The following is an 18266-nucleotide window of genomic DNA, read 5'->3' as shown; positions in this document are numbered from 1 at the left end:
GGCCCCAAACCAGTGGCTATGTACTGCCTGTGGTTTAGAAAGTAGGATCAGAAATAGCAAAGAGGGGTGGGGATTCTCACCTCATTTTCATAGGAGCTGCCAATCACATAGAAATAGAGATCTATACTGCTTTTGTATACCACTGTCAGGCCTTCCAAGAGGGCAATTTCACCTGGTGGGGGAAAAAAAGTAAAAATAGTGGGTGGCTTGAGATAAGGAAGTAGGAAAGAAGGAGTTACCAGCCAGGCGCAGTGGCTCATGCCTGTAATCCCAGCACCTTGGGAAGCCGAGCCTGGCGGATCACCTAAGGTCAGGAGTTCAAGACCAGCCTGGCCAACACAGTGAAACCCCGTCTCTACTAAAAATACAAAAATTAGCCGGGCGTGGTGGTGTGCACCTGTAATCCCTGCTACTCAGGAGGGTGAGATGGGAGAACCACTTGAACCTGGGAGGCGGAGGTTGCAGGGAGCCGAGATCTCGCCACTGTACTCCAGCCTGGGTGACAGAGAGAGACTCTGTCTCAAAAAAAAAAAAAAAAAAAAAGAAGGCGTTACCATGAATTCCTAGTATCCAGCTCTTTTGGGCTAAGGTGAGGCCGCCTGTAATGACTTCCAAAGCCAGAAGATGATCTGCACTTTTTGGGTGGTGGCAGGAGAAGAGAAGTATGAACTTGGGGGAGTCTAAATGTATCTTCTGTAACCACCATCCTCTGTTCCTGCCCACTATACCTATTTCCCTACTTGTATATGAGACAGGATACTAGTCGATCCTTCGGAGGTGAAAATGCAGAGCGGTCACCTTTACAGACTTCCATTTACCTGCCCTAATGGATGCGGTACAATAAGCAGAGCTGCAATTAAATTTGTCAAGTGAGGCTCATAAATCCAGGGACTAGACAGGTAGCTAACAGCCAACCTTCCAGCATGGTATTCCCGCGTGAGGTACACTCACCTCCCCATTACATTCTGAAGAGTTTATTATACAAGGGGAAGAAGGAAAAAAAAAGAAAAAGGCAGAGTCATTTCATCCTTTCTCTGCAGCCCTGTTACCACCCCCTTTCCACCATGGTTCCCCCCAGCACGGGTAGTAGTGAAAGGAAAATGACCTACTGTCAGTCCGATGGGTCTTGTTGAAAATGTTCTTCTCAAAGGCCTTTTGCTCCTTGACACTGGGGTAGGTGTCGTCATAGTACTGGTCAGAGGGAAAGAAGACAGGGTTGGGTCACTAGAGCTGGAAGCCAGAATGATTAGTGACTATGTTTTGCCCTGGGATCTTGGATTTCTCTCCTTCAAGGCATGGGGCAAGGGAGAAATACTGACATGGAAAAGGAAGGATTGTAGAGGCAGAGAATGGGCAGTGAGTAATCCAAGAAAAATAAATAAAAGACCCTGCCATAAGCAACCCCACCTCACATTTCCAAGACTGTCTGAAGGCAGAAGCCTACCAGCCCTACAGTGAGGCTCTGCAGCTGTCTGCAATCTAGACCTCTCCTAAAACCATTCTCATCAAGTGTTTCCTAGGAGCTACCCCATGTCAGGAAGCAGTGCCAGAGAACACAAAAAACACTAGAAGCACAGAACACTTCCATAGACCCTCACTCACTGTATGAAGCTGAGGAATGGGGAAAGGCTACAAAAACCTCCTCCAAAGAAAGGCAAACCCTGCCCTATGATCTATCTTAGCTTTCTTTTCTGCAAGCTGAAAGAAGCATCCAGCATACCACTGAGCCCATTCCCAGGCTCTCCCTGGCAAAGGGGGCGGAGATGCAGGCTGCTAAATCGCTAGCTCTTTAGGGGCTAATCCGTCGCAGTCAGCTGAAGACCCATGACAGGTCTGGCATTTAGTAACTGGATAACTGTTTCAAAAGGTGTCCTGCATAGTTACATCCAATTACAGGGAGGAACAGCTGGTGAATTCTAAACTAATCTCTACCTGCTGATTGATTTATGCTACGCTCGCCCGGAGTTAATACACCAGGGACAGAAGAAATTTCTACAGGAGGGGGAGAATATGGAGGGAGAGAGGGTGTCCTTTCTTCTTTCTTCCAACAGATCTAAAGTTGGAAACATCACTCTGGGAAAGTCAGGAGGTAACAAGCTTGATGGTGACTATAAACCTAGGAATGGAAACCTGGAACTGCAAGACAATTCTCTGGAAAAACCCAGGCAGGGTGACATGGTATGAGGGAAGGGGACAGGAATGATGGACATGGGCGGACTGCCTCTTAGCATCTACATACTGCTTTGTTAGGAACCAAAGTTTCAAAGCTTTTCCCTGATCTGATGCTGACAACAAAGGAGGTCAAAGTCTGAGGACAGCAAGCAGGGCAGCAGTACAACTAAGGGACAAAAGAAAACAGGTTTTATCTGGAGTAGGCAAGATAAGATGGAAGAATTCAGGCCGGGTGTGGTGGCTCACACCTGTAATCCCAACACTTTGGGAGGCCAAGGCGGGCGAATCATGAGGTCAGGAGTTTGAGACCAGTCTGGCCAACCTGCTGAAACCCTGTCTCTACTAAAGATACAAAAAATTAGCCGGGGGTGGTAGCGCGTGCCTGTAATCCCAGCTACTTGGGAGGCTGAGGCTGCAGTGAGCCAAGGTCACGCCATTGCACTCCAGCCTGGGTGATAAGAGCGAAACTCCATCTCAAAAAAAAAAGATGGAAGTATTCTCAAAATTATACTACTGAGGAACATAAGTTAATAAGGTATCAGTCCCAAGATTCAAATCTCAGAATAAACCTTTGTGCTGTTCCTAAACTAATTCGAAAGGGAATCTCACCTTGGCAAAAAGTCGATCTCCATCATTGTCCAGAATCAGGATGGCTTTGACAGTATACAGGGAAGGTTCCTGAAGAGATACGAACATACCTTCAGTCCTGAAGCCTCCCATCACCACTGGTAAACCAGATACCTTCCCCTAGTCCCACTGGGGCTGCAAGGGGATACAGAGGTACCTCTGTAAGTCCCTTACCTCAACTTGGTCAGATTTTGATATTTCCCATTGAGAAAGACCCAGGGTAAGTAAACTGAATTGACAGAGAAAGCATTTAAACAAAGGATTCCAAAGTACCATCAGAGAAACAGTTTCTCTGACTCACAGGGGGCTTAATCAAGAGAGGTCATGCTGTTATTTCCAAATATTATGGTACAGTTATTTTCCAAATTACCCTCTCCCTTCCTGCTCTCCCATGTACAGGTGGCTATAGAATGTGACCAGATTAATTAAAAGGCACTGAACAAAGCCATTTGAAAATAGGGTTGAATGTCCTAGTATACTTGGAAGTTTCTGCAGTCCGAATGCAGTAGCAATGCAGAAGCATAAAGCAAGCCTTCCCTAAACCACCCACACACTAAGCAGAGGGAAAAGAGCGTTTACACACACACACACACACACACACACACACACACACACACGCACAGGCACACCAGTTCTCAATGCAGCCTAGTAAAACAGCCATCTTCAAAAACTCTCCTATGTTCTCCAATTCTTCCACTATACCTTAACCACTACCACTTAACTTCCAAGGACAAAAGCCAACCTGAATTTTGGGGGAGTTAAGAAGCAGTGAGAAGATGATCTATCTGAGAAACACTCTGGGGCCTAGAGTGAGTGAGCAAGAGGGTAATTTTTTTTCCACTACCAAGAATCAAATAAGGAATCACGGCCTCAGTCTTAATGGTTCTTCTTCAACTGTAAGTATATCACTTGCAAAACCTGTGGTGGTCTGTTGCTCTCCTCTACCACTGCAACTTCAAGGGAGCCAGCTAACTAGGAGAAGGAAAATCGCAGGAGGCTGAGGCAGGAGGATTGCTTAAGGCCAGTTCAAGACCAGCCTGGGAAACACAGGGAGACCCCCCATCTCTACAAAAATAAAAAAAATTAGCCAGGTGTGGTGGCGTGCATCTATAGTCCTAGCTACTCAGGAGGCTGAGGTGATAGGATCTCTTGAGCCCAGGAGTTTAAGACCACGCTGAGCTAGGACTGCGCCACTGCACTCCAGGCTGGGTGACAGAGTGAAACCCCATCTCTAATTGATTGAATAGAAAAAACCAAAAGTGTGGAGAGATAGTGATGTGTGCATGAAAGGTATTTGCAGCCTCACATTCCTTGACTTTCTTTTTTTTTTTTTTTTTTTTAAGAGAAAAGGTGTCACTGTATTGTTCAGGCTGGTCTTGAACTCCTAGGCTCAAACAATCCTCCCACCTAGGCCTCCCAAAGTGCAAGTGTGAGCCACTGCGCCCGACCTACATTCCTTGACTTTCTAATCAACATTACTTACCATTGATATCCCTTGTGCTGAGACAAGGCTGTTGCTTTGCTACCTCTTTCCTGGCCTTATTTAAGAAACCCACAGTCCTCACAGGAGCCAAACACAAAAGTATGTGTTTGACAGATATCCAAGAGTGAGGAGGAAAAAATCATTGCCAAGAACCCAGAAACTGCAGCCTCTACAAACATAAATTGCCTCATGAGGCTTCAGGAGGTTTATGGTTCCATGCAAAGAATCAACCCTGTTTGCGGGGGCAGAGGAGGGCAGTTCAGAATGGAAGTAAAAGGAACCCAGTCTTTTGACAACAAGGTGATGAGGAACATAAGCTTTCCCTACTTGAATTCTTGAGGACTGCAATTTTTGTTTTGTTCGCTGGTTTGTCCCATTTGTCCAGAACAATGCCTGACACATACTAAACTCTCAATATTTGGTGAATAATTCAGAGAATAAAGGAAGTTTGAGAATAAAGTTAAAATACCTTGACGCAGTATGCATCTAAGGGACTACTTATAATTAGACCTCCACATATAAGTGGATTTTCTGATGTGGCCACTTTGGGTGATATTACTACCAACTTTATCCCTCCTCTGATAAACACTCCTTAGAGATGTCCATCCTGTATATATAACACTCTGGAATAAACAAGGCATGAGTAACTCCTCTCTCAAACTAAAGAACTTTGTTGCCTAGTGGAGGGAAGTCCTCTAGAGTCTAGTCTTAAAAGGTCACAAGTAGAAGCAGCTCTCCTAACTCCTAATTCCTCACAGAAAGATCTTCCTGTAAAGCAGGCTCAGTTCTATAACAACTTGGGTCCTCAATTCCAAAAGGGAGACAACAATGGGAATGAGTTTTCTTAATGGAAGAAAAGAAGTCCAAAAGGAACAAAATTTAGACGAAATCATTTTTTCCCACAACCTTTTCCTGGAAATCTTTGGCTCTGTTCCTCTATCCACATTCACAGCAACTTTAGAGAGCTGCCCATTAGTTTAAGCTGGGCATTAACCTGGCATAGGAAACTGGTTCTTGCAGCCATAGAGTTTGGCATCCCTAGAACCCAAAGAAAAGCAAAGCCCTAATGGCCCCCAGCCAACTGGGAGAGTCAGACAATGTCCTTTGTGGCCAACAGGGTGTGAGTGCCTACAACAGCCACACCGGCAAAGAGAGAACATATCCCTGGGTTCTGCTCTTGGTTCTTTTCACTGGCTTCCTAGAAGACATTATCAAAGAAACCCCAAAAATAGAAACATTGGATCTTCCTGGGAAGAATAAAAGACAGGCTAAGGAGGACAAGGATAAAGACTAGATTTGACATAGAGCTTACTGGAGCTCTCAAAAGGGAAAGAAGGCATTACAGAAAAGGCTGGTCATTTCAAACTTCCAAAGGAGGAAGCATACTAAATAAAGCTGAGAATTTAGGCAGGCGCTTAAATGCCGCTTCAATTCTCCATTCTGCTACAGCTGGAGCCAGCAGCTTCTTTACTTCTCCTGCCACCTCCTGACTGCAGCTGGTTCCACTTCAGCCTGGGGCTTTTACCTCTCAGGAGTGGGGAGGGCTATGCCATAAAACTAGCCAGTTTAAAGGCCCCAGAAGTCATTACTGATAATGTAATTTCATTTTAAGTTTTTGCAAAGGGCAAGTTTATAAATAACTCCCAGCTACTGAGAAATGGGCTTCCAGGACAATGGACTAGGCTTGACCTTGTAACACATTAAATGCTGACTGTTGAGAAAGACCTTATCAGCTTAGGGCCACACTGAAAGAATTTAAAAGGTCTATTCTTCCCTCCCACTCCCAAAATGGGTAGCTGCTAGAAAGCTTTCGAGACAAAGTTCTGTGATGCACTGACTTTCAGAGAGCCACAGCCTGAGTGTATAACAGAACTTCACCTCAAATGCTAATCGTGCTTGGAAATGATGTATAGGCAGATTGTTTTGTGGGAGATTGGGTGACTTAGACAGATTTTCATGTATTTATGTTTTTATTATCAAGAAAACAAGAATGCTGTCCTCAAGACAGGTGAAACACCACAGAACAAGCAACTAGGCTGCTGCAAATGAATCTTTGATCTCAGGGGCTTCTTTTTTTTTTTTTTTTTTTTTTTTTGCGACAGTCTCTCTCTGTCACCCAGGCTGGAGTGCAGTGGAGCAAACTCCGCTCACTACAACCTCCACCTCCCGGATTCAAGTGATTCTTGTGCCTCAGCCTCCCGGGTAGCTGGGACTACAGGCACACACCCCCATGCCCAGCTAATTTTTGTATTTTTAGTAGAGACGGGGTTTCACCAAATTGGCCAGGCTGGTCTCGAACTCCTGACCTCATGATCTGCCTGCCTCGGCCTCCCAAAGTGCTGGGATTACAGGCGTGAGCCACCGTGCCCGGCCTCAATCAGGGGCTTCTAAAGCCTGGTGAAAAGCATCAACATCTCCAAGAACTCTCTCCCCTAGCGCATAGAGGACTAGAGGGAAAGAGTCATTCCTAGTGCTGCCCCCTGTGGGCCTTCTCGGTGACCTGCAGCTTCCACAGGATTACAGTCATAAGCAAAAATATTTTTCAAAGGCAGCTCTGGATAAGAGCTTTTTTTTTTTTGAGACGGAGTCTCGCTCTGTCGCCCAGGCTGGAGTGCAGTGGCACGATCTCAGCTCACTGCAAGCTCCGCCTCCTGGTTCAAGCTCTCCTGCTTCAGCCTCCCGAGTAGCTGGGACTACACGCACCTGCCACCATGCCCGGCTAATTTTTTGTATTTTTAGTAGGGATGGGGTTTCACTGTAGCCAGGATGGTCTCAATCTCCTGACCTCGTGATCCGCCCGCCTCGGCCTCCCAAAGTGCTGGGATTACAGGCGTGAGCCACCGCACCCGGCAAAAGCTCTCTATTTGTGTGTCTTGTAGGACAAACTAGTAGAGATGGGCCCTGAAAAATAAGTGAATTAAGTCTGTTCACAATGTATATAGTAAGAGAACTCTTTGGGGTAAGATCTTAGTAAGCCACCAGAAGACTGGGAGAATATGTTTGGGGAAGGTAGAGAGGATACTTGGAAACTATAATGAATTATTTGATTCATTTAGGGGAAAAAACCAAGAAGCCTCTATGGAGGGAATTACAGGATGCCATCTACAGAGCTGAAAGAGCACAAATAAGAATATGGAGGCCAGGCGCAGTGGCTCATGCCTGTAATCCTAGCACTTTTGGAAGCTGAGGCAGGAGATCACTAGAGCCAGGAGTTCAAGACCAACCTGGGCAACACAGTGAGACCCTGTCTCTGCAAGAACTTAAAAAAAACAAAAATTAGCCAGGCATGGTGGCATGCACCTGTAGTCTCAGCTACTCAGGAAGCTGAGGCAGGAGGATCGCTTGAGCTTGGGAGTTCAAGGCTGTAGTGAGCTACAATTGCGCTACTGCACTCCAGCCTACACAAAAGAGTGAGACCGCCTCAAAAAAAAAAAGAAGCTGACTGAGATCACTAAAAAGTTCTTCATTGTCTACTTAAAAATAAATCCTTCCAGCCTGGCCAACATGGTGAAACCCTGTCTCTACCAAAATTACAAAACTTAGCCAGGCATGGTAGCAGACGCCTGTAATCCCAGCTACTCAGGAGGCTGAGGCAGGAGAATCGCTTATACCTGGGAGGCAGAGGTTGCGGTGAGCTGAGATCGCACCACTGCACTCCAGCCTGGGCGACAGAGCAAGACTTCAGATCAAAAAAAAAAAAAACATTCCCTAAGGCCATACCAAAAGGGCCTGATGTGGCATTACCCTGATGTGGCAATGGGTCTTGGTGAATTAAAAACTGTAACAAGATTCTCTTGTCTCAATCCTGTTTATAAAGTAAAACTAAGAAGGTAAAAACTAGAAGGAGAAATTCCTAGATACCACTCCCAGCTCCAAATGGCTAAGTAGGTATACTTCCTGACTCTGTGCCAACACTTTTTTTTTTTTTTTTTTGACAGAGTTTCACTTTGTTTCACTTTGTTGTCCAGGCTGGGGTGCAGTGGCACAATCTTGGCTCACTGCAACCTCCGCCTCCTGGGTTCCAGCAATTCTCGTGTCTCAGCCTCCTCAGTAGCTGGGATTACAGGTGACTGCCACCATGCCCAGCTGATTTTTTTTATTTTAGTAGAGATGGAGTTTCACCATCTTGCCCAGGCTGGTCCTGAACTCCTGAACTCAGGCAATCTGCCTGTCTCGGCCTCCCAACATGCTAATATTACAGGTGTGAGCCACTGCACCTGGCCTCTGTGCCAACTTTTATTTATTTTTTTATTTTTTTGAGACGGAGTCTCACCCTGTCGCCCAGGCTGAAGTGCAGTGGTCTGATCTCGGCTCGCTGCAAGCTCTGCCTCCCGGGTTCACGCCATTCTCCTGCCTCAGCCTCCCGAGTGGCTGGGACTACAGGCACCCACCACTACGACCAGCTAATTCTTTTGTATTTTTTTTAGTAGAGACGGGGTTTCACCGTGTTAGCCAGGATGGTCTAGATATCCTGACCTCATGATCCACCCGCCTCATCCTCCCAAAGTGCTGGGATTACAGGCATGAGCCACCGTGCCCAGCCTGTGCCAACTTTTTTAAAATTAAAAGCTCCTCTGGGGTTAAGGGCTCCAATTTGCCAGCCACAATCCGATAGACTTCAGATGAAAAGAAAAGAAGAATTAGCTAAAGTCTTTGACAGGGAAGAGCAGTTTTTACATATCAGATTTTTTTTTTTGAGACAGTGTTGCTCTGTTGCCCAGGCTGAAGTGCAGTGGCGTGATCTTGGCTCACTGCAGCCTCTGCCTCTCGGGTTCCAGCAATTCTCCTGCCTCAGCCTCTCAGGCAGCTGGGATTACAGGCGCTTCCCACCACGCCCGGCTTATTTTTGTGTTTTTTGTAGCCTGGCTTATTTTTGTGTTTTTTGTAGAGACGGGGTTTCGCCATGTTGGCCAAGCTGGTCTCGAACTCCTGACCTCAGGTGATCTGCCCACCTTGACCTCCCAAAGTGCTAGGATTACAGGCATGAGCCACCACGCCCAGCCTATATCAGATTTATTAATATTATTATTATTTCTTGTCACCCAGGCTGGAGTGCAGTGGTGCCATCACAGCTCACTGCAGCCTCAACCTCCCAGGCTCAAGCGATCCTCCCCGTTCAGCCTCCCAAGTAGCTGACTACAGGTACATGCCACCACACCCTGCTAATTATTTCTGTATACACACAAGATTAGATTCAAAAAGCACAGCTCAGGAAAGAGTGGGAGCCACTGGTACCACAGAACACTACCCAGCTGACATGAGACCAAATATTGGTTATAAAGAAAAAACTCAACACATGACTCGGGAAGAACTGACGGCAGGAAGAGACACCTACAATCTTCCTATCTGACACAGACCCAAAACATGTAAAGCACAGTCAACAAGAGTTTTGATATTACAGGAGAAAATGTCTCTAAACTCCTACAATCCATCTCTTAAATAGAGACAGGGTCTTGCTATGTTGCCCAGGCTGGACCTGAACTCCTGGGCTCAAGGAGTCCTGCCTCAGCCTTCCAAATAGCTAGGACTACAGGCATGCACCACCATGCCTGGCTACAATACTTGTACTATAATGGGGATCAGCCATTAACTCAAATTTTCCCTTTCTCTGAGATTCAGCTTCTTCATCAGAGAAATGAGAGGCTTGACCTAGATCAGTTAAGGTTAATGCCTTTTTTGAGTTACAGCAGACCCCTTTGATAAACCAATTACATCTATGGACCTTATTCCCAGCAAAATACATTCACAAATTTTTTTATGATTTCATGGCTAGGCATGCTGGTTCCTACCTGTAATACCAGCACTTTGGGAGGCCAATGTGGGGACAAATAGCTTGAGCTCAGGAGTTTGAGGCCAGCCTGGGCAACATGGCGAAACCCTGTCTCTACTAAAAATACAAAAAAATTAGCTGGGCATGGTGGTGCATGCCTGTAATCCCAGCTATTCAGGAGGCTGAGGCATGAGAATTGCTTAAACCCCGGAGATGGAGATTGCAGTGAGCCAAGATCATCGCACCACTGCACTCCAGCCTGGATGACAGAGCAAGACTCTGTCTCAAAAAATATATATATAAATAAAAATAATTTTTTTATGATTTCAAAGAGTTCACAGAGCCGAGTTTAGAATTAAATGAGATTCTCTCTGGAGATAATAAGATGGTGTGGAGGGGGCAGGAAAAAGAGGGGAAATGAGTGATACTTTTGTAAACCACCCCCTCTACTCTACCTGGCATCCAGTAATGCTGGATAAATTCAATAAATGTGTGTGTGGCCTTCATAAATTAATAAATATGATTGAGAAAACTAACAGCCAGCAGGGGGAATAAAGGTCAGCAACCACGCTCCCTCCAGCTTTCTTTTTTTTTTTCCCTTTTTTTTTTTAAGACTGAGTTTCATTCTTGTTGCCCAGGCTGGAGTGCAATGGTGCAATCTCAGCTCACTGCAACCTCCACCTCCCAGGTTCAAGCGATTCTCCTGCCTCAGCCTCTCAAATAGCTGGCATTACAGGCACCCACCACCACACCTGGCTAATTTTGTGTTTTTAGTAGACAGGGCTTTGCCATGTTGGTAAGGCTGGTCTCGAACTCCTGACCTCAGGTGATCCGCCTGCCTCAGCCTCCCAAAGTGCTGGGATTACACGCGTGAGCTACCATGCCCAGCCACCTCCAGCTTTCAATGGCTGAATTTGATGACTGTGAAATGGGCAGGACAAAGACAACCAAACCCTAAGCTTTTTAGGAATGCAAAGTCTCAGGACCTTTCTCAAAACTCAGAAAGCCTGTCTGTTGGAAAATTTTTTTTTTTTGAGACGGAGTCTCACTCTGTCGCCCAAGCTGGAGTGCAGTGGCTCACTGCAACCTCCGCCTCCCGGGTTCACGCCATTCTCCTGCCTCAGCCTCCTGAGTAGCTGGGATTACAGGCGCGTGACACCATGACCGGCTAATTTTTGTATTTTTGGTAGAGACGGGTTTCACCATGTTGGTCAGGCTGGTCTCAAACTCCTGACCTCGTGATCCGCCCGCCTCGGCCTCCCAAAGTGCTGGATTACAGGCGTGAGCCACCGCGCCCGGCCTTGCTGGAGGATTTTTTACCCAGGGGTCACATAGTCCCTAATTCTTCAACTATCATGGAAGTGAAAGAATCACAGAAATGAGGGACAAAGCAGTACTGCTGGGAAGAGAGATGAACTGAATAAGGAGAAATCAGACTATACTCCAGACCTGAGGCCTGAGAGCACCATTAGAACATTCTGCCTTCTCAGTTTGGTAATCCAGGAGCCCTCACTTAAATAACACTCAGCAAAGGAAAAAAATCAAAAGGGGCTAGATCCATTCCTGATGAGTCCTGGGTCACGATTTGTATCATGATTTATCCCTTTACTCCCCCCCACATCTCCCTGCTTTTGCTCCTGAAAACAAAAAGCTAGTCTCTGAGAGACTGAATTGACAGACTCTGTGTTATCTTTCAGTCTATTTATGCCCCCAAATCAACCCCGAGGCAGAATTGCTCTATTCTCCTCTGGTTTTAGTCTCCCTCTAAAACCACACAACAGAAAAGGAGTTGCAGAAAATTAGTTGACCGAGCTATCCAGGGCAATTGGCTATGGATGGGATATCTGCATTGAGAGTGAGAAAATAGGCCGGGCGCAGTGGCTCACACCTGTAATCCCAGCACTTTGGGAGGCCAAGGCATGTGGATCACAAGGTCAGGAGTTCGAGGCCAGCTTGGCCAACATGGCGAAACCCCGTCTCTACTAAAAATACAAAAATTAGCCAGGCATGGTGGTGGGGGCCTGTAATCCCAACTACTCGGGAGGCGGAGGAAGGAGAATCGCTTGAACCTGGAAGGCAAAGGTTGCGGTGAGCCAAGATCATGCCATTGCACTCTAGCCTGGGCAACAAGAGCAAGACTCTGTCTCAAAAAAAAAAAAAAAAAAAAAAAAGAGTGTGAAAATAAAAAGCCAAATAAAAAAGCAGGCTTCATCTGCAGCATATATAACTTAGATTACACAACAGGAAGGACTTCCTGAAGAGATGGGTGTGGTCAAACACCAGAAGAGGTGACACAGGCTAGGGAATGTAAGGCCAGGAGAGATCCCCCTAATAATCTGATGTAAGGAAACCTATTCTGCCCAAAAACAGGAGGGACAGAATGTGAGAGGGCCCTTGCCAGCACAAGCATCTTACAAGTGCATGGACTCATTCTCTGAATCCATCTTCATCAGCTGTCCCCTGGGCACTCTGCCTTTCCTCTTCCTAATTACTCCAGCACAAGTGGGTACATAGGTACTGATTCTTTATCCCTGCTCCATCTGATTTGCTCCTCTAGTTTCCCTTTCCACAACCTGTTTTCTTGTCAACATCCAGACTCTAATCAAGCCATGTCAATGGAGTAAAGTAAGAAACAGCAGCAAGTATCTAGATAAAAAAGACCCTAAACCTGCCACTAGGCTCCGTCAAATACCTGGATAATTGCACTCATCCTCTGCCTCCCAAGGCAGACCTGGCTTCTCAAGGGTCTGGTTTTCCTCACATGGAGGCCCCCTCCTCCTCTTCTGACCATGTGACAGCTCCCCTAGATCTTTGATATAATTTATACCTTGCCAGGGACCAACTCTTTCCCACCACTGTGAAGAAGAGGGAAAAAATATATATAAATACGTCGGAAATCTATAACAAGGTCTTCTTGGAGGGCAAGACATGGGGAGAGTTAGAAGCAGCGTCAATTGCTCTTTGGGGGTTTTAGTTCAAGCCGAGGTCTGCTTCCAGCAATCAACCATTAAAACAAGCTGGCCAGAGTAACAGCACAGTTTATTCTGATCATTTAATTTGAAGTGTCAATAAATTAAACTTCAATCAATTAAACTAGGTGTGCAATAACCCAGATGGACACCCCGACACCAACATAATCACAATAAAAATTTTTATTGCTGCCAGGGACCTCACCGGGGGCAGTGCTGGCACTGCTCGCGCCCTAGCTGAGAAATATATCTCCACAGCGCAGGAATGAGGAGATTGCTTCTCCTAACAAAATGGAGGGGGCCAGGCACCAGCAAGGACGCAGCTGGGAGAGGGGCACAGGGGACTGCCAGGAACGAGATGGGAGTGCTTTAGGGGCTTAATGTAATTGATACCTTTGCCCAGAGCAGGGGGAGGGGGGCATTTAGGCCAAGTACCTCTACTGTTAGGGCCAAAGGAATTTAACAAAAGCCCCATTAAGATGATTCAGGAAGCAAAGGCCAAGGAGCAACATCAACCTTTAAAGTCATTGACATATTCTGCATAGTTTCCTCCTCCATACATACTCATATCCTTGTGCACTTTGGATGGCCTGATTTTTTAATGAGGCTTAGAATTTAGGATTTGGTTATGGTTTTAAAATATTAAGGTAAGACAAAGTACAGAATTAGAAGTCTAGTCTGTAAAGCACTGGAGAAGCACTCTGAAAGTGAATCCAGAGAGGATTAGGAAAAATAAAACCTATGAACAAAGATTTAAAGATCTAAACCGATACAGAATTCAGTTTTGTTTGTTTTTTAAGACAGAGTTTCACTTTTTGCCCAGGCTGGAGTGCAATGGCCCTCGGCTCACTGCAACCTCCGCCTCCCAGGTTCAAGCGATTCTCCTGCCTCAGTCTCCCGTGTAGCTGGGGATTACAAGCGCATGCCACCACGCCCAGCTAATTTTTGTATTTTTAGCAGAGACGGGTTTCACCATGTTGGTCAGGCTGGTCTTGAACTCCTGACCTCAGGTGATCCACTCACCTCAGGATTACAGGTGTGAGCCACCGAGCCCGGCCCGAGTAATTCAGCTTTAAAGAAAAAAAGTAAAGCAGGAAGGAGGAAGGGGAAATCCTTATCTTTAAGATTCCACAGGTTATTAATGGAGAATGGTGATCTGCAGAGATCCTCTTCATTCACAACTCAAAAAGCGAGAACCAGCAGATACAGCAAGAGAGAAGAAGCCAAGTCCAAAGATGCAGGCTGAGATCACTATTATTAAGCATTGGGAACTAAAAGAGATGAAAGGGTCTCTTTCCTTAGAGCCTAAGGAGACCTGAGAGAGATTAGACAAATCTGCTTGAAAGCTAGAGCTGGATTACTTAATTCAAGAAAGAAATGTGACCATGTGACCCACTGTAAAGTACCTAAAAGAAGGGAACTTACTGTTATTTAGAAATTCCACAATCAATGCAAACTTTGATCAACAGTTCTTCTTGACCCCCTGTAGCTTACCTGTCCCTTTTTCTCGACATCCTGCAGCTATGTATGTACCTTGTAGAGTTAAGGACAGAAGAATATGCTTTGATCAGATTGTCCCTAACCGCATTACATAGGTTTCCCATAACAAAGAACCAGTGTGGTTTTAAAAGCAAAGTCCAGGGTTACCTGATCAAGTTAGCAGGGATCTGTGAATGCAGCCTATTAGGCATAGATTAAAGCAAAAGAATAAGGAAGAAGCAGGCTGAAACAGACTTCACTGAAGAAGCAGAGACAGAGAACTAAGGGAAGAGAAATGTGACAGAGAGACTTTCTTTTTCTTTAACTTTTCTGAGACAGAGCCTTGCTCTGTCACCCAGGCTGGAGTGCAGTGGCGCATCTCGGCTCACCGCGACCTCTGCCTCCCAGGTTCAAGTGATTCTCTTGCCTCAGCTTCCTGAGTAGCTGGGATTACAGGCGTGGCCACGCCCAGCTAAGTTTTGTATTTTTAGCAGAGACCGGGTTTCACCATGTTGGTCAGGCTGGTCTCCAACTCCTGACCTCGTGATCCGCCCACCTCGGCCTCCCAAAGTGCTGGATTTACAGGCGTGAGCCACCGTGCCCGGCCTTTTTTTTTTTTTTGAGATGGAGTCTAACACTGTCGCCTGGGCTGGAGTGCAGTGGCGCGATCTCGGCTCACTGCAACCTCTGCCTCCCTGGCTCAAGTGATTCTCCTGCCTCAGCCTCCTGAGTAGTTGGGACTATAGGCTCGTGCCACCACGCCCAGCTATTTTTTTTTGTATTTTTAGTAGAGACATGGTTTCACCATGTTGGCCAGGCTGGTTTCGAACTCCTGACCTCAAGTGATCCGCCCACCTCAGCCTCCCAAAGTGCTAGGATTACAGGCATGAGCCACTGCACTGCGCCCGACAGAGATACTTTCACATATAACTCCCCCAGCTTACCCACTACACACAGGCCCATTGTTAAAAGGGCTCCCCAATTATTATCTTCCTCATTCCTTTACCTTTAAGCAGGCTCCCTTCTAAACATATATAGGTAAGTCTAAAAACTTCCAAAAAAACCAATTCCCTAGAATCTATCCTAGTCTGCTAATTGGGTTTAGGGGGAGGTTTTTTATTCTTATTTTTTTAGAGACAGGGTCTGGCTTTGTCACCCATGCTGGAGTGCAGTGGCACAATCATAGCTCACTGCAGCCTCAAACTCCCAGGCTCAAGCGATCCTCCTGCCTCAGCCTCTTACAGTGCTGGGATTACAGGCATGAGCCACTGCACTCAACCTCTTGATTAAGAATACTTGCTGCCGGGCACGGTGGCTCACTCCTATAATCCTAGCACTTTGGGAGGCTGAGGCAGGTGGATTGCCTGAGCTCAAGAGTTCAAGACCAGCCTGGGCAACACAGTGAAACCGTCTCTACTAAAATACAAAAAAGTTAGCCAGGTGTGGCAGCACGTGCCTGTAGTCCCAGCTACTCGTGAGGCTGAGGCAGGAGAAATTGCTTCAACCCAGGAGGCAGAGGTTGCAGTGAGGTGAGATCACACCACTGCACTCCAGCCTGGGTGACACAGCGAGACTCTGTTTCCAAAAAAAAAAAAAAAAACTTGCTAACTGGCCGGGGTGCAGTGACTCACACCTGTAATCCCAGCACTTTGGGAGGCCAAGGCAGGCAGATCACTTGAGGTCAGGAGTTCAAGACTAGACCAGCCTGGCAAACATGGAGAAACCCTGTTTCTACTAAAAATACAAAAATTAGCTGGGCATGGTGGCGCGTGCCTGTAACCCCAGCTACTCAGGAAGCTGAGGCATGAGAATTGCTTGATTCTGGGAGGCGGAGGTTGCAGTGAGCCAAGATTGCACCACTGCACCCCAGCCTGGGCAACACAGCCAGACTCTATCTCAAAAAAAAAAAAAAAAAAAAAAAAAAAAAAAAAAAAAGAATACTTGTTAACTGCTTGGTACAGAAAATATTTAAAACTACTCAGATTTTAAGCTTTTTACCTATATTTGACCAACCGACATAAGGAATTAACTGTCTTTAACTGAAAGAGAGGAATTAAAACCTGTTATTCTTTTATCTGATGAGGATCTGAATGTGTATGCTTAGGAGATCTGAAGGAAAATAAAAGACAAGCTTCTTTGGAAAGAGGCCTAGAGTTCAAGCCAATTAAGGAAGAAGGCTGGGAGTTAAATTCCTACACTATACTACCTACCTACCTACACACACACACACACACACACACACACACACACACACACCCCTCCAAATCGCAAAATAGGGCACTTTTGAGAGAAATTCTCTGGTCCAGTTCTAAAAAGGGGTAACAGGTATTTTATTTGTTAGAACAAGCATAAAGCATCATATGGACAAGAGGGCTAATACAGCCCTTTAGCGACCACAATTCTCATGTAACCAGAGAGGGAGAAATTAGCATCCTAGATCATACAATAAGAATTCCTGGCCCGGCGCAGTGGCTCACGCCTGTAATCCCAGCACTTTGGGAGGCCGAGGCGGGTGGATTACGAGGTCAGGAGATCGAGACCATCCTGGCTAACACGGTGAAACTCCGTCTCTACTAAAAAATACAAAAAATTAGCCGGGAGTGGTGGCGAGCGCCTGTAGTCCCAGCCACTCCGGAGGCTGAGGCAGAAGAATGGCGTGAACCCGGGAGGCGGAGCTTGCAGTGAGCCGAGATCGTACCACTGCACTCCAGCCTGGGCGACAGAGTGAGACTCCGTCTCAAAAATAATAATAATAATAATAATAATAATAATTCCTGGCCAGGCGCGGTGGTTCAAGCCTGTAATCCTAGCACTTTGGGAGGCCGAGGCGGGCGGATCACTTGAGGTCAGGAGTTCGAAACCAGCCTGGCCAACATGGTGAAACCACGTCTCTACTAAAAATACAAAAAAAATAGCCGGGCGTGGTGGCACGCGCCTATAGTCCCAACTACGCGGGAGGCTGAGGCAAGAGAATAGCTTGAACCCGGGAGGTGGAGATTGCAGTGAGCCAAGATCGCGCCACGTGCGCACTCCAGCCTGGGTGACAGAGCAAGGCTCGGTCTCAAAAAAAAAAAAAAAAAAAAAGAATTCCTAAGGTCTAAATGGGTAGAGAAAAGGAGAACAGAATAAGGAGTCTAGAAAAAATATTCCACAATCCATGCTAACTTTATCAGGTATCCCAGAACTTTGATGGAATACTGATTATTTGACAAACCTATATAATAGGGATTAACAGGAAACCGAAGACAAAACAGTTTCCTGAAGGAATGTGGCAGGGAATCGGCAATGGAGAGTCAAACTTGGGAAACCATCAGGAGGAGTCTGTAACGACAAAACATCTGTATTCTTTTCTTACAATATGGGGCGAGTTTGGTGGTTTGGTAAATTAAAATCAGGGTATCATCCACAATGCTAAAAATAAGGGGCAACCTGAAGGGTCCTAATCCAGTACGCCTACAGGTCTGTGTATCCTAAGGAGTCCATGTGCTGCCTTCAACTTTCCACCGACTCTATGCCCTCTCCCCGGCAGGGCTTCCTACTCTAAACCAAGGCTTTAGCTCCTACACTAGGCCACACACTTATTCCAAAGGTCAGCAGAACGCTCAGTCCCCAAGAATTACCCGGAACTCTCTTTCCCCGTCTCCCACTCGGGCTGAACCCTGACTCCCGGCCCCTGTGGACACCACAGCATCTCTGCTGCCCCTCCAGCTCCTACCAAAATCAGCGCCTCCATCTTGCCCCGCAGCTGGTGCCGACGTGGAGCCGC

General features: G+C 46.3%; 1 protein-coding gene and 1 non-coding gene across 6 annotated transcripts in view, besides 2 other annotated features; both read right to left on the bottom strand.

Moving 5' to 3' along the window:
• COPZ1 (coat protein complex I subunit zeta 1) overlaps positions 1-18266 on the bottom strand; it is a 26716-nt gene extending 8450 nt beyond the window's left edge. For 2 of the 5 annotated variants that reach the window (NM_016057.3, NM_001271735.2), the window contains exons 1-4: positions 18216-18266; positions 2782-2850; positions 1110-1191; positions 81-172 (exon numbers count right to left, since the gene is read on the bottom strand). In NM_016057.3, coding sequence (NP_057141.1) covers positions 81-172; positions 1110-1191; positions 2782-2850; positions 18216-18233 — 261 coding nt within the window. In that variant the 5' untranslated portion in view covers positions 18234-18266. Of the gene's footprint in view, positions 1-80; positions 173-1109; positions 1192-2781; positions 2935-18215 lie in introns of all 5 variants that reach the window. The other 3 variants (NM_001271736.2, NR_073424.2, NM_001271734.2) reach the window with 3 other exon arrangements.
• Positions 6083-6181, bottom strand: MIR148B (microRNA 148b). The gene has a single exon (NR_029894.1). It is a non-coding gene; the product is annotated as a microRNA 148b (primary transcript).
• Positions 12826-13515: an enhancer, noted in NCBI's record as "NANOG-H3K4me1 hESC enhancer chr12:54723666-54724355 (GRCh37/hg19 assembly coordinates)". NCBI's record gives its function as "activates a minimal SCP1, AML or CMV promoter by ChIP-STARR-seq in primed H9 embryonic stem cells {active_cell/tissue: H9 hESC(primed)}" and the evidence as "EXISTENCE:reporter gene assay evidence [ECO:0000049][PMID:30033119]".
• Positions 13516-14206: an enhancer, noted in NCBI's record as "NANOG-H3K27ac-H3K4me1 hESC enhancer chr12:54722975-54723665 (GRCh37/hg19 assembly coordinates)". NCBI's record gives its function as "activates a minimal SCP1, AML or CMV promoter by ChIP-STARR-seq in primed H9 embryonic stem cells {active_cell/tissue: H9 hESC(primed)}" and the evidence as "EXISTENCE:reporter gene assay evidence [ECO:0000049][PMID:30033119]".

Source organism: Homo sapiens, chromosome 12 (assembly GCF_000001405.40).
Source record: "Homo sapiens chromosome 12, GRCh38.p14 Primary Assembly".
NCBI lineage: Eukaryota > Metazoa > Chordata > Mammalia > Primates > Hominidae > Homo > Homo sapiens.
The sequence above is the reverse complement of the archived record's forward strand: the minus strand, read 5'-3'. Positions and strand labels throughout refer to the sequence as shown.